This window comes from Homo sapiens, chromosome 2, assembly GCF_000001405.40.
Source record: "Homo sapiens chromosome 2, GRCh38.p14 Primary Assembly".
NCBI classification, from domain to species: domain Eukaryota; kingdom Metazoa; phylum Chordata; class Mammalia; order Primates; family Hominidae; genus Homo; species Homo sapiens.
Genome location: NC_000002.12, coordinates 210,601,835 through 210,628,233, shown reverse-complemented (window position 1 = coordinate 210,628,233; position 26,399 = coordinate 210,601,835). Strand labels below are relative to the sequence as shown.

The 26,399-nt window shown below is 34.7% G+C and overlaps 1 protein-coding gene and 1 long non-coding RNA gene across 7 annotated transcripts in view; both read right to left on the bottom strand.

The window, feature by feature from the left end:
* Nucleotides 1-26,399, bottom strand: part of CPS1 (carbamoyl-phosphate synthase 1) — a 201,423-nt gene that overhangs the window by 50,874 nt on the left and 124,150 nt on the right. For all 6 annotated transcript variants that reach the window (NR_161225.1, NR_163592.1, NM_001369257.1 and 3 more), the window contains 6 exons: nt 25,904-26,032; nt 22,988-23,132; nt 21,293-21,503; nt 19,675-19,873; nt 15,941-16,117; nt 11,693-11,811 (listed from right to left, as the gene is read on the bottom strand). Coding sequence is in view for 4 of the 6 variants with exons in the window: in NM_001369257.1 (NP_001356186.1) it covers nt 11,693-11,811; nt 15,941-16,117; nt 19,675-19,873; nt 21,293-21,503; nt 22,988-23,132; nt 25,904-26,032 (980 nt within the window). In the remaining 2 variants the exon portion in view is untranslated. The remainder of the gene's footprint in view (nt 1-11,692; nt 11,812-15,940; nt 16,118-19,674; nt 19,874-21,292; nt 21,504-22,987; nt 23,133-25,903; nt 26,033-26,399) is intronic.
* Nucleotides 8,358-10,663, bottom strand: CPS1-IT1 (CPS1 intronic transcript 1). Its single transcript, NR_002763.2, has one exon. It is a non-coding gene; the product is annotated as a CPS1 intronic transcript 1 (long non-coding RNA).

The following is a 26,399-nucleotide window of genomic DNA, read 5'->3' as shown; positions in this document are numbered from 1 at the left end:
CCATCCACTTGACACTACAACTGTATACTTGTCAGTTTATCAGCTGAAGAGTGGGTAGAAGGGGAGGGGTAGAAGAAGTAACTGCAATTTAATACTGCCAGGTGGATATTGCTGTGATGGCCATTACATTATCATCATTATAGTTATATAGGCAAATGGTGTCAAAATACCTACTTCAACCTTAGATAGGCAAATACCTTTGCCCAAAACCTGTAGTCATGCTCCACCATCCTGAGAAAAAGACTCATCAGCCAGATAAAATAATAAATGTGGCAAGTGTTCAGCACAACACCAAGAAGGTAATAAGTGCTTAATAGATACAATTGCTGGAGGAAAAGGAGGAAGGGAAAGAACCAGACCAACAGGGAGGAGAAAGAGGAAGAGAAAGAAGAGAAGAAGCAGGAGGAGAAGTTTAGAAGAGCAAAACTAGCAAGTCACCTACATTTGGCCCAGCACCTCAGCTCCCTTTGTTTTCTTTCCTCTCCTGTGTAGTATTTCTGTACTCACACTTTGAGGTGGTGAGGGCCACCATACTTACGACTCCCTGCAAGTCAAAATTGATCTTCTAGAGAGAGAGTGCTCTCGGGTATTTACTCCACTGTTAGGAGGCATGGTCGCTGCCTTATAGTCTTTGGATACGAAGTGCATGACTCTATCCTAAGGTCAGACTCAAAGGCTTTATGCCCCATAAAGGCATCTCAAGTATAAATTAGCAGCTGAAGAAATTCTGGGGTCAGCAACTAATTATCTAGCTTCTGTAATTATAGCTCTGGCAGCCTATTTTGCGTAAATTTAATTCCATTCTACGCTCAAGAGTTGTTTTACTCACACCTCCCTAAACATGGAAGGCAAGGTATTTGTACTTTAAAGAAAAGATACCTATAGACATATATTGTGTATAAATATATACAAATCTTTTATTATAAATAAAGCAAAACTTAAAAAGAAAATTATTATCCTGGGTCTTTGTACCCTTGAAAATCCTGTTTACATTTTTCAAAGGTGACTTGCTGGGGCTTTCTCCCTGCCAGACTTCCTGTGTTTTCCCCCAAGAGTTTTGGAAAAGGGCAAATTCCTCACAATGTCTCCTCTCTAAGTGGGGTCAACAATGCAGGTGGCTCACAACTTGACCGCTAAGCAGGAACTGATCTCCAGCTGTCTGATTTAAAAGTCATATCTCGCAAAAGAAGCTTTTGAAAAGGGTTAGTGACTAAAACTGAAAGTGGGAGCCCTGGGCTAGATTCCTTGTTTTCCTCTGATTGGTGTGACATAAAGTATGACACACACCTCGTGTGATTCAGTTTCACCATCCATAAAAATAGGATAGTGATATTTTTCACCTTTATTATAATAGAAATGTACTTTAAGGTCACCGGAGATATACAGTAGATGCCTGTATTTTAAATAAGTATTTATTTTTGCCTTAACCTTCTTCACTGGTTAATAAAATCATATCCCTTCATATAGTTGAAAATGTCTGTGAATATTTCTCACAAAAACTTCTCAGAAAATGCAAAAATTTGAAAACGTGAATAATTTTTGAAGATCAAGAATACACAAACACTGGTTAGTTCTCACCAGGAGTTAGAGATTTCACGATATACCTATACTGCCTACATGTATATAATCTTTGACAATATAAAACAATTAGATAAATCTCTTTTTATTAAAAAACAGTTTATTCAGAGCCTTCCTAGCTAATTAGTAGATACATAACTACTTTAAGAAATTAAAACCTAGAGATGTTGGTTTACAATATTTCCCAACACAGTCAGTTTATATCTTGGGCTATGTATTTTCTAATTAATAATTTTGTGAATTTTGTGAATTCAATCCCTTTGAACAACCAGGAATCATATGCATTTTGCTCCACTACAATTCCCCCTCCTTTGCCATCACTAAGAAATGATGATTTTCACTTTCTACCAAGAAAGTTTATTTGTTATATTATCATACAAATATTGTTGAGTGTTTATACAAAGCACCATATATCAATTCCCAAGAAAATATATGGTAAATAAAGAATTGGAAACCATTTGTATCTGTTTCAGAAATTATGACTTATACCTTATGCCACAGTGAACTCTATTCTGCATTCATACAAATTAACACAATTTTTTGCTAAGAAAGACCTATAATAAAAACATATTAAGACATTATGGTATTGGATACTTTCCCTAATGAAAATCACAATTTAATTGGGGGATGATATTAGGATATATGCAATATTTACGGAACAATGAAGTAAGACTGTGTGGCGTCAACTATTTCACCCAATGAACAAACAGGTAGCTAATATCCACTTTAGTTTTTCTTCTTATACTATCTTAATTTCTTCATAGTCAGATTTTCACTGTTATGAAAAATAGCATAAATAGGATAAAGAGCAAACACAATTTGTCAGTTCCTGAGTAGAATTCATACCTTTACCTACCTGTTTCTCACTATGTGTTTGGACCTTATAGCCTAGCTTCCACTCCTACCTACCCAACATCAAATGAGGACTTAATTCTGTTTCTCTCTTCTCTCTCTAAACCATGCAATCCTCTTGAAAGTGTCTTTCTATTTCATTTATTTTAAATTCTCTCTTCCTTCTTCCTTTGGCTCCCATGACAGTGGGATATATTGAAGGAAAGAATATTGTCCTTGGACTGAGAGATTTCTGAACTCAAAACCTGGCTCCAATATGGAGTAAGGAGAATTTACTTAAACATTCTGAGTCATCATTTCTTTCATAAAATATGGGATAGAGACACATACCTCCTAAAAACTGTACATCGAGACTTGTATGAGATAACATGTGTAAAGTTAGCTAAGAGCTTTTGTTTCTAACCTCCACTAAACTTTCATGAATTCATATTTCTGCTTCTCACATGTCCATTAATGTGTCCTGTCTATATATAGCTCTTTGTATAGGTTATAAACCTATATTATAGATTCAATGACTGGTGATTATTCATCAACAAATGGCTTTGGAACTAGCACAAAGCCTTACACATAGTAGATACCCAATAAATAATGACTGAATAGAAGAACAAATACCATTTGGTCTAATAACTAGTGATTATTCATCAACAAATGGCTTTGGAACTAGCACAAAACCTTACACATAGTAGGTACCCAATACATAATGACTGAATAGAAGAACAAATACCATTTGGTCTAATACCAGCTCCTAATAAAAAGAAATGCCATCAAGTAAATATATATCCCATCACGCTTAGTTCAGAGACATTAACACAGGAATAATGTATTAATTATTGACTATTTATAGATATATATACACATATTCTGAGTATGTGTTATTTTAAATCAACTTAAAATTTTTAAGTTGTATATTCTTATGAACTAGCAAACATACAATAATTAATATACAGAAACATAATAGGCACTTTATGAGTCATCTGAATATTACTCTGAAAACCTTTTAAGCAAAACATTCATCTTGTCCATGCCAGACTCGGAAGTACTCTCTCACAAATTCAAAAATGCACAATCATTTGCCAAAACTATGAAAACACTATTTAAATAACAAATGAAGACTCTCAGAACATTAAATATTTGATGTAAAATTTTATATCTATCTCAATAAATTATTACTTTAAAAATTAGTGGAGTCCTATCAAACCTATGACATCACCTAAAATATCCTTTTATTACATGGAACATAAAAGCAAATTAAAAATAAAATGTATTTTTGGCATTAGTTCACAGAGTTATAAAATTTCCCATGGTATTACTCTTCTCTTACAAAGAAATAAGTACTTGTATATATAAGCCCCATTTTTTAGTACACCTGAAGAGGTTCATTATATAAATGGCTTGGAGTATGAAGACTGAAAGCATAGAATGGTAATATGTAATAACTGGTAAGACTGTTTTTCTTTAAAGTTTGTTACTTCACATATAGTATATATTCAGCTAGCTGCATGACTGACCAGTAAAATAAGAAGGGAGTTTGTGTTGTTTCTTTTTGTTTTGTTTTTACTAGGGTGAAACTGAGGCTTAGAATATCGTGTGAGTTAGTAGTAATATGAGAAGACATAAGACCATTTTCTGCAAATCAAATTAATGGGTTCCACTAAAGTGTTCAATCATCTCCATTCTCATTTCTATATCCAAAATAATAGATGCTATCACAAAAACATGTCATAGTAAAGTATCACAAAAATTATAATGTGATTATATGTTATATTATCTTTCTTTAAATTACTTGTATATTTAGTAGTTTAAGATGAAAGTTGTTGATTTTTTTCTACCAGAAAATATACATTGTCATCAGAAAGTAAAGTACTGACCCTTCTGTTTCTTATATCTAAGTTCCAACAACTCTTAGGTGACACTTTTCCCCCAGAAACTTCAATCAAGCATAAGCACAAAACGTTCTTGCCTGATTTTTGCCATGCCTCATGAGCAAGTTAAATAAAAAGTCAATAGAAGTTAGCATGTGTAGGAGAGGACATTCAAAGGGAGTGTTCCAGCTAACGTGACACCTGCATTATTACATCTGCCAGAAGTTTGTGGCTGCAGGGAAATGGCCAACTTTACTGAGCTCAATTTAGCACTTGAATGCCCAAGTGGAACTCACCAGGGTTGTCCTAGATTGTTTTCCTAAGCAATAGGCACGCCTATGATTTTTCACCACTCACCAATGGACATAGTTTATCACATTGAACATAGTGATTTCGGATGGAAATTGGACCCTTGAAAAGTGCACTTTACTCTTTTTTTTAAAACTATATTGACTATAAGCAGTAAAGAGGAAAGAGAATATTAAAGTTATTAGAGTGAAGATAGCAAAAAAAAACCACATGAAACCTACAGAATATTAGACAAAAGCAATATCTGGATAATTTGTAAATAAATCCATAGTAAAGTTTATGTCAACAATAGGGAAACAAATACAAATTTTAGCTTCCAATACTCGTATGGTATAAATTGTATCACAATGGTTATATCTCCTACTTTTGAACGTGTAAAATGAATGAAAATAGATTCTTTTTAAGTAGTCATCTACAACATTGCTAACATAAATAGCGGCATTGTACATAAAAACAAGAGAGCAAAATGGACCATTGAAGGAAAATTGCCCAAAATGAATGGAATGCACAAGAACAAGCAATCATCATAAATGGTAGAAAACCTTCACTTTGATGATTTAACATGGTATAGCAAAAGCAGAGGCTGGCCATCTTCTTTAAGATAATCACTTGAAGCAAGGATTCAAAACTTAATTCAGCTTAGTTTTAGCCAGTAAAAGAGCGAAATTATACAATTTAGGCAGGTATAATAAAATCTCCAAGCTGGATATGTCAGTCAGAAATAGCTAAAGAAACCAAAAAAACAAAATAAGGAAATAAAAAAATTAAAAACAGTTACAGCCAGAGGGATAAGCAGATGCTTAAAGCTGGTAATTGTACTCTCACTTTTTTTTTCTTGCCTGTTCATGTGTCTTTTTTTTTTTTTTAAGTATCATGATTGTCTTTCAATATAAAATTGCCAATCCAAATTGGTATTATAAATAATAATGCTTGGGGGTGTAAAGTCCTGAAATAGTTCTTTCTCACAAGTTCTATTATAGTTGAATTCCTTACATACTTATAGCAAGGGGAGTCCAACTGAAGGATATTTGTACCTGTGCTTGTTTATTAATAATATAGTAGAAACCTTCATTATATATGCTGATTCTACCATGATAGGACTATCACCCCTTTATTGGCTACTGTTTCTAAACTGAAGCTGTCTATTTTAGGTAGTCTTACTTCTTATTTCCTCTAGATGTTATCTACACCTCTAAACAAATCTGTTTCTATACCCCAAGCAAACCTGTTTCTGTGTGTGTATATATATGCTTATGTTTACATATATTTAATATATTTACATGCACACTTACATACCATATACTTGATATGTAAGTATATAAGCATACACATATATGTATTATTTTTAAGCAGTCATCTATGGTATACACAAATATAAATATATTATATTTGATATTTAAGTATGTAGGTATATACTTACATGTAAGTATTCTTTCTAAGCTTCATCCACAATATTGCTCACATAAATAGCAACATTGTACATAAAAACAATGTTTACTTTTTACTAAAGTAAAAAGTATATAAGAATATAATTATATATCAAATATAAGGGGTTAAATAGCAAGTATCCTGGGTTCTGGAGTCCTGCTTAGACTTGATCCCAATTCTGTTATTTATTAGTATGTGATGTAGAGGAAACTGCTGAATCTCTCAGTGCCTCAGTTTACTATCAATAAAATTAGGACAATCACTGATTTCTTAATGTTGTGTTAGGAATTAAACAAAATAATGTGCTTAGAACAGTGCTTAATATGTAGTCCAAAAATTTTTGTGATTATTATCTTACCCTTGGAAGGCATTCAGAATTATTAAACTGAATCAAAATTCAAGTTTCAGTATTAAGAGTTATAAATTCATTATTTGGTTACAATAAGGAATAGGCTATATCAGAAGAACCTAGTTGGTGAAGACATTTGACATCTTTATTTGATTTATGGTACCTGCATTTCCTCTCTCCAGGCAGGAGATCTTTACATGACCAAAATTGAATCTATGCACTAATGGAAAAAAGAACTATAGGTGAGATTTTTATAATTTCTTACAGATCGGAGTAAGGATATTTTTCTTTTGGTATTTATTAAAATACTACATGGGAAGAGCACAATATGTGAAAGCGTCGGCATTGGGAGAGTGAGTATGGGAAAAATAGACTAAAATATCAATAGCTTAGCAGTGAAAGCTAATGGACAGAGATTATGCACATGTTGTGGTTCCACTAAAAATTTATATAGACTTCATTTTCCTCAAACTCCTTGCAGGGTGATCTGACAATGTGAAGTTAAAAGACCTTTGGTGACCATTAAACATCTAAATTCCAAAGCATACACATAACAAGTATTCGAATCCTACATGACACAACTTATATCGTACTGAGTAAAAAGAAACTTCTCAAATCCTAAAGAAATCCACTGTAAATATGTTATCACCCTAGGTCAGTTAATGCTACTACACCAGCCTATAAATTTGGGGAACTGCCTAGAACAGTCAGCTTCCCTACCATGCCCTTGGGTAGCAATAAGCAGTTTAAGTGGAAAAGGAGAAAGTCAGTGAGCGTAAACAGGAAAGAGATCTTTTTTTGGCTGAAGCTGTCTAAATAATGGTTATTACCTAAGCTGGTAAGAATAGATATTGCTTCAGAAGTCTTGTGAGGGTTGCCATTGCTACTATATTCAGGTATTAGAGACAGCATACTGAGTTCTGAGGGGGCAAGCACTCAAAGCTAGGATGCTGAGTTGATTATTCTGATACCTGTTGATATAGTTTTTATGTTTGTCCCTGCCCAAATCTCAGATTGATATTTAATCCCCAGTGTTGGAGATGGGGACTGGTGGGAGGTGACTGGATAATGGGAGCAGATTTCTCATGAATGATGTAGCACCAACCCCCTGGTGCTCTCCTGGCAATAGTGAGTGAATTCTTGCATAATCTGGTTGTCTGAAAGTATGTGGCACCTCCCCCACCGACTCCCTCTCTCTGGCTGGCTCCTGCTTTTTCCATAGGACACGGCTGCTTTCCTTTTGCCTTCCGCCATGATTGTAAGATTTCTGAGGCCTCCCTAGAAGCCAAGCAGATGCTAGCACCACACTTCCTGTGAAGTTTACAGAACTGTGAGCCAATTAAACCTCTTCATAAACTACCCAGTCTCAGATATTTCTTCATAGCAATGCAAGAATGGCCTAATACACCTATCCCTCTTGTCTCATCACCCTGCAGAAAGATGAGACTTCATACGTAATCATGAACATGAAACATGTTTATCTCTCCCCTTCAAAGAGAAGGGTTTCTGATTATAATTTCTACTATCTCACAGGCATGGAAAACTCATCAGTTATTTCCATAATATCTACCTAGTTACAATCATTGTTTTGTTTTCCCCATCTCAGTCTGTGAATATTTATATATACTAAATATGTGAGTATATCTTTTTTAATAATTTCCATTGTATTTTATCTTAAAATATATTGTTTGAAGCTATTGCATAAATAAGCACATTTATTGTTTACATTTCAAACATAAACTATGTTCTTGTTTTTATATTTCTTTTTTTATATTATACTTTAAGTTCTGGGATACATGTACAGAACATGCAGGCTTGTTACATAGGTATACACGTGCCATGGTGATTTGTTGCACCCATCAACCCGTCATCTACATTAGGTATTTTTCCTAATGCTATCCCTCCCTTAGCCCCCCACCCCCCAACAGGCCCCGGTGTGTGATGTTCCCCTCCCTGTGTCCATGCGTGGGTATAGTCTATTTGGGACTCAAATTCTGAACTTCATTTCAGATGACTATATGTAAACACAAGTCAGAGACTGACCATCAATTTAATGATATGCTCATCCTCTGCTATTAAATGTGTTTATCGGACTTTAGAACTCGAGATTGATTAACAACTGTAGAGTAGGAATTTTTATTCATTAGCATAAGGGAAAGCTATTTATCTTTTAATAAGAATAGCATTTGCATCGTAGCTATCAATTGCTTCCTTTAAAAAATAGGTCTGATATTAAAATAAGTGATGCATCATAAAGGAAATTAAGAAATGATACATTGCAAAATATAAAAGCAAATAAAAATTGTGAGTCTGAAAATGAATCTTTAAATATTTAACTATCATATCTACATATCTAAAATCATAATATATAATACATATCTAAAATCATAAAGTAACCTTTATTACAACAAGTAGCATTTTTATTTTCAGGGGAAAAGAGGAAAAATTTTCTTGGGCCCTCACAATATGTCAGATGTCATTTATACTTATATAAATTAAGCTTCACAAAAAAACTAGAAGCAGAGATTAAGAGAAAGAACATGAATCTGGAGAAATGAAAGAGGTGATGTACGTCTGATTCTACAGTGGGGAGGACTGCGCACCAATCTCTGGCTCCATAGTCTGCTCCTTCCAATGCACAAGGGTGGAACCAGAAAACCCACGTCTAGCATTCTATATTTTTTCTCTTAATTTACTTCTCTTTTCCCAAGTGAGAGCCCCACTGCCTGTCTTCTCAAGGATCTCTATGAAAAGTACAAAGGGAGTGCGGTACATTGGCAGCAGAGATAGATGTTGAGGCAGGAGAATTTTGGAGTTCTCTGAACGCACACCAAATAAATCGCTAGCTCCTAGGCCTACAGCTAAAGACAGCCATTCTAACACAGAAGCAGTTGAGATCTTCAAAGTAAACCATAAATAAATACAAATGAAAAAGAACAACTAATCTTCTCAGCCTCTCTCCAAACTCGCAATATGTAAGTCAGCTATAGGTCATTAATAGGGAGCTCTTGTTACTGTTGGAGCAGTACGTACCTTGATGACTAAGCCTCCCTGGATATTGAGGGGCCGAGAAAAAGCAGAGGACTCAGACCCAGACTAATGGTGAGTATAATTAAAATAGGGCAAGGAAACTCAAGGCCTTACATACTTAACATTCATTCCATCAGCTGTCGTATTCTTTCAACTTCAGACCCCTATGTGCCACAAAATGATGGAGACAGGTAGCTTTAGTGGCCATCTATTCTTGTTATTTATCTAATACCGCTAAATAACAATCATTATCAAATTGCTATGCGTGCATCAATGACACTTCAAAAAGAAAGGAATTAAACCATAAAGTGACACTCAGATAATGAGTTCAGGGTTTAGGTTTGCTAACGCCGTGGATCATCTGTGAGTTCCACTTCAGGTTTACTTTAGCTTTTGCTATATAATAGACACTTCAACCTCCCTGGATCAAAAACAAATTTATACAGTAGAGATGATTTTAAGTGTAAGTTTTTGAAATTTTTGAAATGATATAAAGCTTTACATAAAGAGTTTTAAATGTAGATCATTATGAACAATAGAAAATATCCCTATTTACAAATATATTTATGCCAGAAAATGGAGATTGAAAATGTCAAATTGTCGGCAAATAAATGCAACAGAATGTGGAAGTCAGAAAAATATTATAAATGATCTGTAACAGTGTGTTGTTTTAATCCTCCAAGGACCTTTTTCACTATCAATATACCCTTATTTATGCTTAGTTAGAATCTCAACCTGCCTTCTGGTTGTAACGAAAACTATTCAATTAAAACATTGAATTTGTCCAAAAATCAGAACGTATGTCAAGTGGAAATTTAAATCACAATAACATCTGCTATTTTCCACCCCAGGTCTTTTCCACTGCTGTGACTGGCATACTATAAGTTTCTAGCACCCCCATGTGGCTTAATTGGAGTGGTTTCATAGGCATTTGAAATCAGTTGCCTGAAACTGAGAACAGTAGAACAGACTATAATTTTACACAGAAGTTCTGCTGGCATCATAAACCAAGAAAGGGAAACTTAAGTCAGCAAAATTATAAGATAAATGTATAGGTTCAATTCCTAAATTATTTGCTGTCTACTGTTCATTTTATGTGATCACTAGAAAGGATGATTTACAAGCAACTATAGCTGGTTTCATCTTTGTCAGATAGAATTCCTCAGTTTTCAAAACCAAGCATTTGACATGGGCAATAATTAAATAGATGAAAAAGAACCTAATTTTTCTCAAAAAGAAAAGCAAGTGTTTTATTACCTAGTTTGTACACATATTGATCAGGCAAATACAGTAACCCAAGTATATGTTGCAATTGCTAAATAGTTGAGCAATCCAGGTTTTGAGATTTTCCACTGTCCTCAAAGATATTTTAAGTGATTAAAGTATCTACATTTTGTCAAATCATTTGAGAACAATTTTTATACAAACAAAATTTTTCCTTCTCTAAACACATCCCTAGTTTGCAGGTAAGACGTCTTTCCAATAGTAGTGTATTTCAGAGTGCTTTCAGAGGGAAGAAGTTCAAGAGGACTATATTGTCTTTCTTAATCTGCTAATAAATGCTCCTCTTATTGAAGATAGATGTTTAAAACTGATCCATGCTTTCATCAGCCTAAGGTGCCCCAGCAGTTTCCCATGAAAAATTTAAAAGTAGATTTTAAGGACTACATTATCAAAATATTCTCAACATAAAATGAAGTTTAAAAATAATTGGCCATGATGGAGATAAAAATGTAAATTAGTCAGAGGTGAAGAGTCTGTTAAGAGAAACCTGAATGTGGCTTAATTGTATGCTGAACTGAATGTCCCAATTTAAAAACAGTAGAGCGCAAAAGGAATGCATTTTCTCCTCAATATACAGCAATGTATAGATTGATATTAAAAGGGGAAAACAGACTTCAGAATGTAGAGGAAAATTTATAGAAAACAAATATTCATTTAATTGATTAATAAAATTTAAATCTAGATAATACTTCATAATTAAATAATACACGTTCATCAATGTATACCAATTTTGTGCATTCAAAAGACCTTATTACTATGTCTGATGACAAGGGTGGGAATAGAAGATGATTAAAAAGATTAATGGATACATTTCTAAAGGTAAACATCTAAAAAAAAAAAAACCTGCCATTTGTCTTCTGGCTACGGGTACTATTTTCCAACAATGGCACTATCTACCTCATTGAATCACAATGTAGACCAAATGCTTAAGAGTAGGAAGAAGACTCTTTAAAAATTGCACTGAAGGTGTCTGGCATGAATGAGAGCAGCACTGCCTTACCTGTTGAGGCCTTTCAGTGTCTTTTCCATGTTTAAAATATCACGCATCTTATACAAAAACCACTTGTCAATGTATGTGAGCTTCTCAATCTCATCAAGGGACATGTTGTCATCAATGGCCTGCCAAGAGGAGAAGAGATACTTTCTTTGGCAAACATTTTTCTAAATGTCTTATTTGGTTTAAAATACATAGCAGTCATGCCTCTGTGTGTTATTTAGAGAGCCCGAGACTGTAGACTGAGTTACAAAACATGAAACTGACATCACTGACATTCCTTCCAATAAACATAAAGATGGTGCCAACTATATCCACAAATGGCATACAGAGTAGGTGCTTGCCTTGAGTGGTGTGTTCTCAGAAAAATCTCCTAACAGGTTTTGACTCGCTCCTCTTTATTTGATTGTGTTACCCATTATACCCTAAATTTGGTACATCTCTTTGGAATTAAAGAAAGTCTCTTGAAACTACAGTTAAGCCAAATTGGTAAGAAAATCTAGAATTAATATAATGATCTCTTAACTTGTAGTGTTGATAGTTATCTTGTAGGAGATAGCATATTTTTATCACCTCACTCCACATTCACACAAACATACAATAGTCAGTGAGAATTTATGGGTCGGATCTGGCTTGGCTTTATTCCTCCAGAATATTTCCTCACAGAGGACTTCAAATAAAAAATTGTTTTGAATCAGTCACTATGATTTTTGTGCTAAGGCAGGCATTTTTTAAAATCCTAATATATTCCAAAACAATGTAGTAATAACTTCTGTTCTGATAGGCAGCTCAGCCTCTTCCTCAAGCTTACTTTATCAATTTCTCAAAAGTAAAACTACAACTATGGGTCATTAAGCTGAGTAGAAAATTTAACTGAAAAAAGAGATAAACTCTCAAAACCAAAATCTTTATACAAAAAGATGTCTACTCTTATTCTTGTATGTGTGTATGTGTACGTGTATATACCCTGTGAAAAATCTGAAAATATTCCAGAACAACATATTTTAGAATAACACACTGCGTTTTTAAGACCCATTAAGAAATATATGCAACTAGTAACTCTGCTGGTATATTTCAGCCCAGGGAGCTTACTTTTCTTAAAGCTTTTACATAATGATAGTATCAGAGAGACCATGATTATAATTGTTGAGATATGGCATGGCTCATAATTTTGTTGACTAGAGTAAGATGACATTTAACAGAAATACTCAAAGCCATGTTCATTTCCTAGTCAATGTATGTTTCTTTTGTTTAATTCTCCCTGTAATTACAGTCAGGTTCCCAAAGACTTAATATTCTGTCTTACTTTCTAAGTGATTAAAGGCACAATTAGCTGTCGGCCATCTACACTGTGAGGTGGAGAGAACCTTAAGTTACTGAAACTTTTAAGAGATCAAAGGAGGTTTTCACACAAGCACATACAGTGAGGGAGGGCCTAGAATCCTGTAGTCATTTCACTGGAAGGAAGGAAAGGACTACAGTCAAATCCATGATTTCTTTCTTTTATATATATATATATACTTTAAGTTCTGGGATACATGTGCAGGACGTGCAGGTTTGTTACATAGGTATACACGGGCCATGATGGTTTGCTGCACCCATCAACCTGTCATCTACATTAGGTATTTCTCCTAGTGCTATGCATCCCCTACCTCCCCACCCCCCGACAGGCCCCGGTGTGAAATGTTCCCCTCCCTGTGCTCATATGTTCTCATTGTTCCACTCCCACTTATGAGTGAGAACATGTGGTACTTGGTTTTCTGTTCCTGTGTTAGTTTGCTGAGAATGATGGTTTCCAGCTTCATCCATGTCCCTGCAAAGGACATGAATTCATCCTTTTTTATGGCTGCATAGTATTCCATGGTGTATATGTGCCACATTTAAAAGCTCATCATCACTGGTCATTAGAGAAATGCAAATCAAAACCACAATGAGATACCATCTCATGCTAGTTAGAATGGCTGTCATTAAAAATTCAGGAAACAACAGATCCTGGAGAGGATGCTGAGAAATAGGAATACTTTTACACAGCTGGTGGGAGTGTAAATTAGTTCAACCACTGTGAAAGACAGTGTGGCATTTCCTCAAGGATCTAGATCCAGAAATACCATTTGACCCAGCAATCCCATTACTGGGTATATACCCAAAGGATTATAAATCATTCTACTATAGAGACACATGCACACGTATGTTTATTGCAGCACTATTCGTAATACCAAAGACTTGGAACCAACCCAAACGCCCATCAATGATAGACTGGATAAAAAAAAAAATCCATGATTTCTCAACAGCAAGCAAGATCCTGCCAGTCTTAAGACCTCATCTCCAAGCACTGCAGCTTTGCTATGTAACATCACTGTAATGAAGTCTATAATGACCCCCAAACAAGTTTGAGGTTACTTTAATGTTCCAAAAATCAAAAATAATGCCCCGCATTCTCCCCAAATCAAAAGAGGTGATGATCCAGTCATCCTGAAATAAGACTGCTGTAAAAATCAGACCTCAGAGCAAGTTGCTCTTTCTAAGACTCATGAAAGCAAGCAAAGATTTACACACTCCCTTCATTCTTTTTCCCCTTCAGCCCTCCACCGTCCTTACACTCTCTGTCAAAATCACCAAGTTCCCGGCTGCTGTTGAAATGAACAGTAATGATGACCTCTAACAAACAGAAATCAGTTCCTTCTCCCAGCACTCGAGCAGGCAATAATTTACACGCAGCCCCTGCACTTCTTGCTCATACATAGGGTACCCTGTGAAAGAAAGAACCTCCACACATTTTTCCCAGATTCTCATCTTTTATAAGTCTGTTAGAAAAGAATGAGAGATTTGCTTGAGTTTTACAGCTTAGCTGGGAACTTGGAAATGCTTGCCTTTTTCATCTCCTTCAAAGTGGCAGAAACATGATTGCTAGACTTAAGGAAAAAATCTATTTACTGTCCTTTGCCTGAGAAAAAAATTTTATATATATATATACACACACACACACACATATGAATGTCATGAGCTGCTTCTTAAATAAAAGACTGAAATAGGGATAATAAATGATGAAGGTGAAATGGCTTTCTAAAATAACTTCTTATCACTGCTATCCCACCCGCCACCGCCAGAGAAAAATTCTAATTACCTTGAAACTCAACATGGGAAAATGTCCATCAAGAGATAATAGCAACTCCCAGAATTTCAGTAGGGCTTAAATATTTTCCATTTAGAAACCATAAGAGCGAGGAGAATATACATTGGATGCAATTAAGGAAATATCCCTTCCTCTCCTTCAGGTCTCTTAAGGACTCAAAATATGGACATAAAAGTTGCGATGAGTTCAAAATCACTAACAACATTTTTCTGTTTCTACACAGGCAAATTACAAAGACGGGAATCCTTTTAAAGAGAAAGTTCATGTTTTCACCGACTCATCCCACATGCACACACATACACACACACAAACATAAAATGGTCAGTAGAGCTTTGTAGAACCAGTGCGGTTTGATACTGTTGGAGGATTAACGCTTGTGCTTCCTTAAATGTCAAAAAGCCTTTCAGGGATTTCTGACCAGACAGATTCCAGCTGCCCAAGTCACCTTTTATAAAATCAGATGAGCTGAAACTTCAAAACTCTAAGCACAGTAAATATAAAAGTAGATTAACATGGCATTTAATTTGCATGAGAAGCAAGTAGTGGAGGGAAGTGAGAAATGTAGGGCCTTTTTTCCTGAAAGTAAGACCAATAAAATAATTACATGGAAAACCCTATAATCATGTGGGCCTTTATAGTCTGTTGCTGTTTTTTAAACACAGAAAGAGAAGCAAATAAATTAAGATTATTCTAGACTCAAGTGGCACATACTAAGGGACATTATTGTATGCACCTTCCTTTCTACAATACAATTTTACACATTCAAGGAACATGTAATAAAGTTAATAGTAAAGGACAAGTCAATATAGTCAAATCTACTTGAGTATTAGTACTAAGTATACTTAAAAAGGGGGACATTTTATCTATTTAATCATCCTTTAAAACTGCAATTTGCCCTTAAATCCAGGCTTAAAGTCAAATAAAAATGATAATTTATCATTAATTGTAAAAGACTCTAATGAAATCTATAGATGTTTCCAGTTTAATACTATAAAAGAATTAAAAATTTTCCAAAAATCCCTGATTTAAAACCACTTTGTGATTCAGTTTTATTTTAATGTCCAGACTGACTACATTCTGGAAAAGCAACTAGTAGCTGTGGGCCCCTTGTAACATCTTACCTTGGCAATGGCATAGATACGCGTGCTGCTTGGTTCAGACAACTCTTTTCTAAGATCTAAATTAGATGGCCATTCTTTGTTCATTGGGAGACGGGGAGTGAAACCTTCTATAGATGGGTGGCACATCCGTAAAGCTTTCTGGAAACTCTCCTCAAAGGTACGACCAATAGCCATGACCTGTAATACATGTTTAAGACCTCATATTGAAAGAAAGAGCTTATGTATCTTTAATTTGTAACTGAACTGGACGTAAAATATATTTTATAAAACAAATAAGAACAAAAAATATATCATAAAGCCTCTCAAATTAAAAAAAAAAAAAGGTGTTCCTTTTTTTCTTCCTCTCTCACTTTCTCCATGGTTTTGGTATAATGCATCTTCATTAGGTCAGTCTTTTACCACTCAGGGAGTTCAGCTGTATTTGCTGAGATTGATGAGGAAATCACCTGTACCTGCTCTGGACCATAGTATTAAAATAAGAAATTCAAGGTTGAAGCATAGAGACCTTTTCTTAGTAAGATCTTGCTTTATGCGCATGTTCTTTAGAATGGAAGGCAAATAAAAAGAAACCAGAAATATATTAACACTGAAACAGAAACTATTTGTAAATGAGTATCAGTCAGTATTCAAGACAGGTTGGCTTTCCTTACAGCTAAGCATTAATATTAATAGAACCTTGAGAGTCATAACAAATACTGATGATTATGATTTTGAACGTAGGAGGAGACTAAACTTTCTGTGACAAATTCAATGTGTCTTTCCACAATCTTTACAGCTCATCATACACTAATCAATTAGAAAAATTATGTGGTGATTTAGTTTGGACAAGTTGCATGTCAGAACTAAACTTAAATTGATCTTGCAACCTACCCAGTTATTTTCGCTGGATAAACATTGTTTGAATCTTTTCATAGAATAATAGATTGCTATGCATTTTTGGTCTCCAATTTAAAATAATAGCAGTCATAATGCTATTTTCAGTAAACTTTTGTGATTCCTCAAATAGACTCAAATTACCACTAATGTCAGTTTAGGAAATCTTCATGTCAATTATGTGACAAGATACATATTCAATGATCACTAAAGCCAAACAGATAACCTTTTCACACTGTTCCAAATTTAATTAGAAATAAGGGAAAATTTACAAGAGCAGGAATAAACAACCTGTTAATGCAATTCAGATATGCAATTTGCAAGTCATAGTGGTATCTTGAAGAGTTAGACAATATGTTTATAGATTGTCTAGCCTGGGCATGGAAAAGACTGCCAGAAATCAGACATTTTATTGTTCTGTAAAATTAAGGAAATATTTTGGGTATATTTAAGAAAATTTGAAGTATTACATATTTAAAATTTATCTGAAATTAGTTCTATAAGTAACTCTCCATATATTTTTATTATTCTTAAGCACAATCTATATAATGGTACATGGGATCCATTCAATTAAAAAAAAAACGTGTATAACAAAGGAATATGTATCTATAAATGTTTGCTCAAAAATTGTGCTTTTCAATACTCTCTCTATATATTTTTGCTTTTTGAAACAGGTTCTCACTCTGTTACCCAGGCTGGAGTGTAGCGGCACTATAGGGCTCACTACAGACTGGACCCCCTGGGCTCAAGTCGTCCTCCCACCACATTTGCCCTATACTATTAAAATGCACCTTCCTTGAGTGACTATTTCACATTTTCCAGTGGAATGACTATAATGGGCTTCCTCAACCCTATTCTACTATATTCTCATAGCATCTATATATAAGTACTATCTTTTAATATTTACCAGAGATTAATAATTCATTGTCTATTCGGGTCAGTTTAGGTATTCTGAATTTACCAACTGCAGACAATGTATCTCAATTATCTATAATCTATTCCTTTTTTAAATCCTCCCAGTGTCTTGCGTTTAGTAAGAACTCAGGAAATGTTTGCTCACTTTTTGAACTAAATGTAAGGTGTTAGACAACAAAACTCCCCCCTACCTTTTATTTTTTGTTTGACAACAAAATCCCTCAGATAAGAAGCCCCAAATGAAAATATTACATAATTTTCTCAAGTTCCTTGAACTACCAATTTTATGGTGAACATTATTTAAAAAGGACCCTTCCCATGAAATGTAAACTAAATAACAGTTGTTTATTTGGTGCAAACACTAGCAACATAGATTTTCATGGTATTTGCGTTCTATTTCTTTTGTACACTAAAAAGTATGATTTGAAAAATAAGATTTAAAACAACTATAATGGAGAAAAAACTAATATTTAGTGTTTTACAACTAGTAAGACATTTTAATTTAAAAGGCCAATTTGTTGATTTGTTACTACTTTAAAATCTTTCATTAGTATCTTACAAATTAAGGAAGCCAAAATAGAAATAATTCTGCCTTTCATGTGTGAATATGATAGACCAGTAAAGCATTTCTTTTTCTTTTTCCCTGTATTGGTGACAGATTTAATCTATATTTTCTGTGATTAGTGACATGCATTTCTGAAATGGCTGGCCTGGGTTTAGGCTATAATCTGTGTTATGGGACAAATAAAGAACAATATGGAAAAATATGTCATAAACAGCCTTTTGCTCTGTACTCTAATCAACTTAGATACATAGACTAAAAGCTCCCACACTGGCCACAACAGAAATAGAGATGAGATACAGATAAACTAAGATAAATGGTAGATAGACAAATGATAGAGAAAGACTGAGATTTGTTCATACTTCAGCACTCATCTACCCCATGCAACATTTATGAATACTAATTTAATAATAACAATAATGATGGATTACATTTATTAAGAGGGGGTATTATAAGAATCCTGCAAGGTAGGTATTATTATTTCTATTTTATAGGTGTGGATCCTGAAACTCAGTCTTGCCTGAGAGTCTGTAGCTAATAAGTGGCAATGCCAAGAGTAATATCCAAGTCCAGCTGGTTCCAAGTTTCATGTTTTCTCCACTATCCCAAACCTTCTGGATGCAGAAAATGATTAGGACTTGGTGGAAGGAGGCAAGGGAGTGAATCTCAGCAGAGATATGAATTCCTTTCTTTCCTCTCACACAGAAGAACACTGCATCTTTGAAGATGCAATAATCAAAGGCTAACTTTAATTTCAAATAGTATAACAGCACATTCTAAAAAATCTTCTAAAGATGTTAAAAGCTTAGAACTTTTTAGTATAATTAAAGAGGGCTTAATAATCTACTATGCTCATATCAATTTAGAATTTTAGAGCTGGAAGGATCCTGAGAGATGAACTAGTCCAGCCTCTTCTTTTATAGATGTGGGGAATGAGGTCTCAGGAAGTTAGAGCCACAATTTGCATGAATGGACTAAAGTTGAATTCTTAAGCTCAGTTCAGTGGTCTTTTTGATATATTATATTCTATATTACTTTCTTGATTTGGTTATAAAATATATTACAACTCAGTTATATGTATATGAATGTGTTTTCATATGTGTATCTATACTATATAGCCAGATATATGGCCTCACCTTTTGAATAGGAAGACCTTCAAATCCAGCAAAATGGCCATGTAACATATGTAATATGTAAACAATCACATAGAGACTGTTAGCATATTAGTATGCTAATATTCAGGCAACTTTAACACTGTCAATTGCACCTTTAACACTGTCCATGTGTTGATGGTATCCAGGCAACTTTAACACTGTCAATGGTGTCACAAATTTAACAAAATAACTGAGAACAAGAAGAAAAGCGTAATAAACCAAGGACTCACCTCTCCTACACTTTTCATAGAGCTACCAATTCGGCTAGATGTTCCATGAAAACGGTCAAGATCCCAGCGGGGAATCTTGGTGACCATGTAATCCAGGCTAGGTTCAAAACAGGCTGATGTCTTCCCGGATACGACGTTCTTAATTTCTGGAAGTGGGATTCCTAGGGCAATCTTTGCAGCAATGAATGCCAATGGGTAGCTATAAAAAGAAGACAAATTTATTTTTTTTTCTTCGAGCAATTATTGAAAACAGACCAAAACATAAATTGGTCTTTCTTAAAATTTCTGGTATTATTCTACTTCAGGGTATAAGACACTTGATTCTCTGTTCTGCATCAATATTTAGTAGCCACTTGCGGAATAATAGGAGTCATGATACAAAGTATAGAGGCACAGGTCACAGGAGAATTTACTCTCTGTGCACTACATGCATTGCTACAACGCTCAACCTTCACCTCTTCAACCCAAAATCGATAGCTTTATTGATAAATAAAGTTTAACCTTTATTTGTATTTAACCTCCACTAAGATGAGAATCTGCAAAATATTTTTTGAGAAAATATATACATATCTGTACATATACATATCTGTACCTAAGAATACAGTGGAGTTAGCTAGTACAAGAGAGTACATAATGGTCAGAAAATGTAGGCATTTCAAGTTTGGGTCCTTGCTCTGTCTCCAAATTATCTTTGAACTTTGGGCTCCTTACAAAACTAACACTTTGAGAACTTGACTATCTTCATCCAGAATGTCAGTTTGGGTTATTCTGTTTGAGAAAATAATTCATAGAACTATAGAATTAAAAATGAGTTCTTTAGTACAACTTCCACCTAACAAATGAGGAAACTGATAAAGACAATGAGTGATGTGCTCAAAATCACACGGTCAACAGAAGAACCAAGTGAGAATGCAGAATTGTGACTCCTGTACAGGGCAACATGCCTTTCACCACTCCACGCAGTGCTGTGGAACTACGTAAAAAAAATATAAAGAAGTAAATATTGTGTTCATTTAAATGCCATAATTTAAGTGTAAGGTGCTAAATATATTATTAGAAACCAAAGGTTTTGATTACCTTTCCCTCCAATCATGCCTGCTAGTGGCTGTTACATAGACAGCAGATGTATTTGTTTGGTTGTAACAGTTACTTGTGAAAAAATTCCGCACTGTTCAGTCTTGTGGAGTTTTGATAAAATAAAAGTAATGTGTATTGCATGCTTGAGTCAAGTGAGCTATATTTTCTGTCAACTATTTGCTATAGGGCTATACACCTGAAGAAAACAGCTGAAGACTAAAATTAAGGATTAATCTGCACTTTTAACAACATCTGCAAAGTGCAATTAGGAAGCAGATTTTTCACAGCCTGCTTTAGCCACCTAGATTTTGATTCGTTTAGATTAGCCTGCAAACAAAGCCAGCTAGCAATATAATTTACCTCAATCTGGCAACAAGCTCATTAATAATCATGTCCTCAGGGTGCTATAAATGATTTGGAGCTAACATACAGAAAAAGGGAACATAGTTTGTAAATGCAGTACAGTCTTCCACTATCTGTCAATTTTTCATTTCTATCTGAAAAGAATCTGCAAACCCATGGTCAATTATTCTGGTCTTACCCAGTGGCTTTTGAGGCCAGAGCAGAGCTTCGGGACAGTCTGGCATTCACTTCAATGATGCAGTATTCCATTGAGGTAGGATGAAGGGCAAACTGAATGTTGCATTCACCCACAATGCCCAAGTGGCGAACAACATTGATTGAAGTACGTCTCAACATCTGAAACTCGGCATTGGAGAGTGTCTGGGCAGGAGCCACAACAACTGAGTCACCTATATATCCAAGAAGCACTCATTACTTGGTGGCATATTGAAATAACCAACTTCAGCGACTTAACCATCTACTTGCACGATGCAAGACATAGAACAGTCTGAGGGTTTGTTGGGATATATATGTGATATCAGGTATTCCCCCAATTCCTGTTTTGCCCATATTACTCTGATACAGTACTTTTAGAAACCTCTCTAACCTTTCCCAAGTTCATCTATCTAGTAAGTAGCTATCAAGGCTTCAATCGTCTACTTACTAGATTGACTTCAACTTCCCTGCTCTTCATCTCAAATTATTTCTGAAGTTCTTCCTTTCATTGAATATTATCACTCAGACTGGCTCATCAGCTGGCTTTCTGTATCTCATCCCTTTCCATCTTCACTTCCCTCATCATAGCCCCTTATATCTGCAATCTTAGTCTCCATCCCTTCTGCCTTCAAACACGCTCAGATCTTCACTGCCTCCGGAAGTCTTCTCCCAACATTGCCAGACAACCATACAAAGCTTCTCTCTCATTCTTTACATGAATGAGCTTCTTGAAAGTTTGCCAATTCTGCTTACCACTTGATACCATGTAATTCCTTTTAATAGAGCTCACAGAACTGACTTTGCAATGAAATTGTTCTCTTGGACATCCAAAAGAGCCAAATTAAATAATCAGTCTTGGTCTTGCATAGCATTTGATACTGCCAAAAACAAAGCTCTTTTATAAAATAGTTCTTGCATTGGCTTAGTTGGTACAGTACTACCTGATTTTCCTCTTAACTCTTTATTCTCCCCTTCTATCTTCAACAGTAATACTTCCTCTTTCCCCTGCCCTATAAATCTAAATGTTTCCCAGAGTTCAAAGTTCAACCCTATTCTCTCCTCTTTCTATACCTATGTCCTTGAATACTTTGTCTATGCCTACAACTTCAATTTCCCCTTTTATGCCAACAGTTTCCAGTGTCTTTGTATCAACTTATTTATTTCTATTTTATTTCTTAAATTCCATCTCCACATTCTCAACTCCCTTTTTTGACAGCTCTGCTCACACCCCAAATTTAGCACTTTTAAATCCTAAGTTATCATCTTTGCCCTCTTATCTAACTAGTGTACTTTTCTGAAAAACTTATTTCTATTATTGTGCCTATTTTCTCATTTACTGGGTGATTACCAGCTCAGTCTGCTTTAAACTGTCTCAACCTCCCTTCTTATTTCTCAACACTAAGTTTTATGGATCTTATTTCTACCATATTGCTTACCTTTGGCTCTTCCTCAATTAACTCAGTGTAATATCCGCCTTACTTCACAGGGTTTGTGTGAAGATCAAATTAAATGTGAGAACATTTTCAATACTGTAAAATACTATGCTTGTCCAAAATGTTATCACTAGTCTGTCAACTAGAAATAGTAATTTAAAGGCAACAACTTTATAAAGACTGCCTTGGCCATCAAAGACATGAACTGAAAGCATTACTATAGTTCTTGAAGATACTTTGCCTACCTGTGTGAACACCCATGGCATCAACATTTTCCATGTTACAGACAGTGACACAATTGTCATCAGCATCTCGAACCACTTCATATTCTATTTCTTTCCAACCTGTCACTGACTTCTCCACCAGAATTTGGTTGGTCATAGCAAAGGCCTAGAAATTGGTGACAAAAGATATCAAAGAGTAAGAAAAAGCACTGGCTTCAACAAGGATATTTGGCAAAATACCCTGGCATAAATCCTGGTCAGCACTGAACTCTCAAACCCCGTCTCCATTCTCCCCTGCACAGAAGGCACAATGTGTCAGAAAATCAGTGAGGTACTAGGAATAGCATCCTGCAGTGAATATGCTTGATTTACATTATTGAGGCTTGCCATTCAAAGTGCTGATATGACAGTAAATCAAACTAATTTAGGAAAAAGAGAAAATAATTGAGCAATCAGGCAGAGGGAAATGAAATTATTTCAGCAGCTAGGCTTCTGTGAAACCAGAAAATGTGATAAGTGTGAATAAATATGGAAAAATAAGTCTAAAGACTCTGGCTCTCTCTAAAATAGCTGAGGGTGCTTTGTACAGTGACACACACAATAAAAGTTAGTTGATGTTGATGAGGAGGAGAAAGGAGATGATGATGGTTGTAAACGGTTAGCCAAGATGGCATATAAAACTTGAGAATTAGAAGAATCATATGGGACTATTATTATGGTTAATCACTGCCTAAATGCTTAAATACTCTGAGTCATATATCATGTATGCCTGATTAGACAGATATGAATTAGCATAATTATAATTTCATATTTACGGCACACCCACAATGGGTAGAATACTGAACCCAAAATAGGAAAGTGGTAATCTTTGACCTTAGGACATGCAGTGGCTGATAATCCAAGGGAGAAATGTCTTATTGTCTTATAATATATTTGATTTGGATTGACAGTGAAAGGGAAAGCAGTTTGAATTTTTTCAAATTATTAATAGGCATTAAAATAATAATTTAATGTAAGTTTTTCTGTAATGTGCCTTAATAGGATTTTTTTAAACTTCAGTCATCACTACAGGCTCCAGCACGTGCAAATGAAAATGTGACACATTTGTCCCCACAGCTGCCCACGATGAGGTTCTCAAAGTGGTTAGAAAATTCAGTAGCCAATGTTAACAATTTAATAATGATTAATTCATCATTCCGGTTGCCTGCTAAAAGAAGAAATCTAGGAAACAAAGGGTATAAATTTGGAAAAGTATTTTGCATTCTAATGAAGTAAAATGGATATTTAGATACAGGGAAAATTTGAAATTATCTTCACCTGTTTCCTCAGCTTATTTTTATTTTTATTTTTTGAAGTCTTCGATTTTATGTAAAAAGTTAATTTAGGGACCTGGATAAGTTAATGCAGCTTTTAATGGTGCTAATTATAACCTCAAGAGAATAGGGGATTGTTTAGGACATAATGATATGACTAATTATTCTCAAGGGAAGAGCGAGGGTTTTTTTCAACAAGAAAAACCATTTAAGGGACTATTGATTATTTGAGTACAATATAAATAATTGAAAGCTATTTCATTCCAAAATTCTCTTTATTATAAACTTTCTTACATGAAAAGTTCAGTCTTCAGATTGGTTTCTTATAGAGTAAAAAAATTAATAGAGAATATGTATACACTGTCACAATTGGCAGTTATGAAGTTGTTAATATTGAAAATATTTGGAGCCTCTAACATGCTAGAGGAAATAAACTTTCTATCTTCAAAAACATGTTTTTGCTCTAAATATGTGATTCATATGTCCAGAATGGTAACAAGAAACATTTATGTGAGGTATGTTTCCCTTTTTTGTAATTTTCACAACTTTAGAAAAACGAAACCCAAGTTGTTTATATGTAAGTCTGCCATTGTAGTTATTTAAATATGCTGAATTGTACTTATCTGTTTTCAAAATTCTATGTCAACAATTCAAGGGTCTCATTTCACTTCAGTTCAAAAAGTAAGTAAAGATGAAGCAATAAGCTGTCCGTGAGCTATTTCCTAAATAATTCCCAAAATAGCCCTTACAGTAATTCTGTCAAATTCACTTCTATGACTGCCATGTAAGTTACACAGGTTTCTTGGCTGCACGTGTAATCATTCTTCAAAGACATTATTGAACTCCTGGTATTTCCAGGCACTGTTCTATTTTGTGGAAATAGAGTATAGACAAAAGTCTCTGTTTTCCTGGAGCATATTTTCTGCATTAGTCTCTAATTTAGTTTTTGTAGCATAGCTTACTTTTCTCAAGAGTTTTCCTCTAACATGCAAAGAAAGAAGTAGTTCCTAATATGTTAAAGTGATTTTGATAGAAAATAAATTATAAACCCTCAAATCTCTCGTGTTTTTATGAGTATATGGCAGTTGGTGGAGTTCAGTCATTTACTGTATTGAGTGGTTTATACCATGTATATTTTAGACACCTTAATTTTGAGTAAAGTCAAACTACTCAATGTGCTTTGTTTCACTTTCTGGATGTCACCCATGCCAGCCACATTATTTCTAAAAAATTAAAAATGAGACATTATGTCCTATTTTTCCTTAACCACTAAAACATATTTTAGCATTTTAAATATTTGAGAGTAGATTTTGAAACAAAGGAAGAAGGAGTTGAATTAAGTTCATCTCCTTGAAGTCAATAGATTGTACTATAAAAGTGGAATTTGAGGTAAAGTGACCACTGGTTTACCTTGAACCATGTGGTTTATCATTGCATCCTGGCATGAAGAGTTGCACTGCATGCTCTCGCAAAAGTGTCATCTTTTGGAATACGCTTTTGGAGAACATGATCATGATTTAATAAAGAAAATGTAATTTCTCATCTACATAACTTTCTCTAGTTGAAAAGGTCTATCAAGCCAGTTTTTTTGGTTGGTAAGAATATTGTCTACAAAAATACATACCTTTGTGCTGAGGTCCATCAAAGTCTCTCTGTTGGGACAGATGCCTGAGCCTAACCCACCCAGTGCATAGGCGGAACGGATCATCACTGGGTAGCCAATGGTGTCTGCTGCCTTCAGTGCATCCTCAATCTGTCAACAAGAACAAGGACTCAACATTTTAAAAGCTGAGCACACTGGCAGAACAGACCACACCAAGAGAGTCTGGCAATCAGGTAAACCAACTTATGTGGGGAGAGTGAATCTAGAAATGTTCTATTATTCCCTCATCTCATTCTGAAAAGCAAGTGTTGTTACTCAAATGTTAAGTAAAATTCTAGAAGGGAGGATATATATATATATATCTTCTAAGAAATACACTTTTGCGGTAAATTTTATCCTGTCCTATTGAAACAGAACCATGGTCAAAGCAGAAATAATCATCATTCATTTGAGAATGGCAGCCATATTGAATTATTGGATTTTTACGATTTTTACATGCAGCTTAAAAGTCTCTGTC